The 2,363-nt window shown below is 52.3% G+C and overlaps 1 annotated feature.

Moving 5' to 3' along the window:
- Nucleotides 730–1,230: an enhancer, noted in NCBI's record as "H3K4me1 hESC enhancer chr17:72037304-72037804 (GRCh37/hg19 assembly coordinates)". NCBI's record gives its function as "activates a minimal SCP1, AML or CMV promoter by ChIP-STARR-seq in primed H9 embryonic stem cells {active_cell/tissue: H9 hESC(primed)}" and the evidence as "EXISTENCE:reporter gene assay evidence [ECO:0000049][PMID:30033119]".

The raw sequence follows: 2,363 nt of genomic DNA on the forward strand, positions 1-2,363 counted from the left end.
CAGGACACCAAACCATCTGCTTCCAAGGCCCAGCTATGACAGGGAGCTGGCCGGCGGGTGGGGCCCAGGCCTCCTCAGGGTGGTTACATACAACAGGATGGAGGCGAGAGGTTGCAGCAGGGCAGGCAAGAGCCAGCACTCACCAGTGGAGAGGAGGAGCCCACGCCTGTCCTAGAGCGAGCCCCGGCACCAACTCCAGCAACATCATCCTCAGGTTTTCCAGAGCCTGGTGTTCAGGCCCCTCCTTGGAACACCTGTGGGGACTGGGAGGGCAGCCCAGCAAGGCCCCACTGATCAACGCGGAGACTTCCCTGCTGGGTCTAGTTGATTTTCACCCAGCTTTCTGGGAGTAGAGCTGTTCCCAGAGCTTCCCTAAGCTTGTGCCCAGATGGCAAATCATGATCCTGCGAAACAGAAGGAGAAATGGTGCGCACATGTGAGCAGGTGAATGGATGCGGGGCCGAGGAGCCTTGCCTGAGTGCAGGACGGCTGGGCTCCACCCTCAGCTCTGCCCCCACCACGCTGTGTGATGTCCCAAGAGCTTGTGACAAGAGCTAACACTGATTGAGCACTCACTCTTTGCCAGGCACTACCCTGGGCGCCTTACAAGGGCGAATCCATTTAATCTCTGCATCGTCTCTACCCCCACTTTACAGATTAGCAGCCTGCAGAATAGAGACGTTAATTGGTTTGCCTAAGGGGACAGCTGGGATCCAGAGCCCTGTCTGATGCAAAGGCACATTCTTCTCTGTAAAATGGGCCCAAAGACCTCTGCTCTGATAACTGCACTGGGCTTTGGCCTTTAGTGAAATCAGCAAGTGGAAAGTGATTGGAAAGGAGAACGCAGACCACACCACACAGGCAAAGAACCACAGTGTGTGCTGACAATGGAGTTCCGCCTGAGCAGAAAGAGAATGGAAAGCGAGAAATGGAAGACAAACCTCAGCAGACTTCCAGGCATTGGGTTCCTGGCTTGCTCCTCCACCACCAGCTACTGTCACCACCCTAAGTCTAAGAGTCCATCACCTCCCATTCTCACCCCAGGGGAGATGGAACCAGTGGGCACAGCTGGTGGAGAAGGGCACTGATGGTGAGTACAGCCCATCAGAAGGCATTCCCCGGGGGATCCACAGCCACATTCCCCAGGCTTCTGAACCAGGACGCCCCAGAAGTTACAGTATGTGGCTTGTACGCTGACGACAGTGGTGATACAATGACAACAGGCCTGCAGACATCCACGGCTCTCCTGCCTGCCCAGCCCTGGAAGCCAGCCTCAGAGCCGGCTCATTCAGAATGGCCATGCCCTCCTAGGAGAAACACCTTCCTCTCTCTGTCCCTGCATGGGGTAAAAGGATCCAAACCCCCTAACAAAGATAGTTCCTGGGCCTGGCTGCACCCAAGCCCTAGCCAAACCCAGAGGCCGCCCGGGACCATTTTTTAATTCTTTTGCAATCAGCACTTTCCTTTCTTCATTTGCTGGTTGAATAATGCAGCCTGTAAGAAAAGGGCCCTCAGCACAATTCTGGTGCTCGTTTACAATGGAAATTGGGAAAACGGCGAAACGCGTACTGCAAAATGCATTTAAAAGAAGATGATTCAATTGGATTTGGCAGCTCCGATATTCAGGACCAGAAGGAGAAAATCTGTCTATGATTTGAACATGTATAATTAAGAAGAAAGCCTTAAGTACCGGGTGCATTTCTTAAGATGTCACCGGCTCTGTTGACTCCAGGCGTTTTGATCAGTGGTGTAGAGCATTTATTTCTGAAATCTGAATAGCTATGAGTGAGGCGCCTTTTTAAAACCAGCACTATGGAGCCAAGCCCTGACATGGCACAGCTCGTCAAATGGGGTGAAGGTAGAAGGAGCAAGGAGGGAGAGCAAAGGCCCCTCTGGACCCAGCTCTGATCCTCCCCCAGGGTGTACCCCCAAACCTTGCAGACCGAGGTTCAGGCAAAATTAGATCCATTTGGTGTGTCCTATTTTGGTTCTTCTGCTGCTGCCAATGGAAGTGCCAGCGCCCTGGGAACCGTTCCATCCTGAAAACAGAGAGCTTGCTTTGAATGTTGGAAATGTTTTAAAAAGGCAACTAGTATTGTGGAAAAAGCCATGCAGTGGTTACCAGAGGAAGGAGGCTCAAACCCCATCTCCACCCTGGCTAATTGTGGGAGCTTGGGCAGGTTACTTAGCCTCCCCCAGTCTCAGCATCCTCATCTCTAAAATGGTCTAAGTAATAGACTCTCCCTCATAAGACAGAACAATTAGACGAGGTTATCCGTACAAATCCCAGTATCTGACACGTGAGCAGTGCCCACTGTACGTGATTTATCGTTCTTATTATTCTCTTCAGCCCTCTCTCAAGC

This window comes from Homo sapiens, chromosome 17 (genome assembly GCF_000001405.40).
Source record: "Homo sapiens chromosome 17, GRCh38.p14 Primary Assembly".
Taxonomy (NCBI): domain Eukaryota; kingdom Metazoa; phylum Chordata; class Mammalia; order Primates; family Hominidae; genus Homo; species Homo sapiens.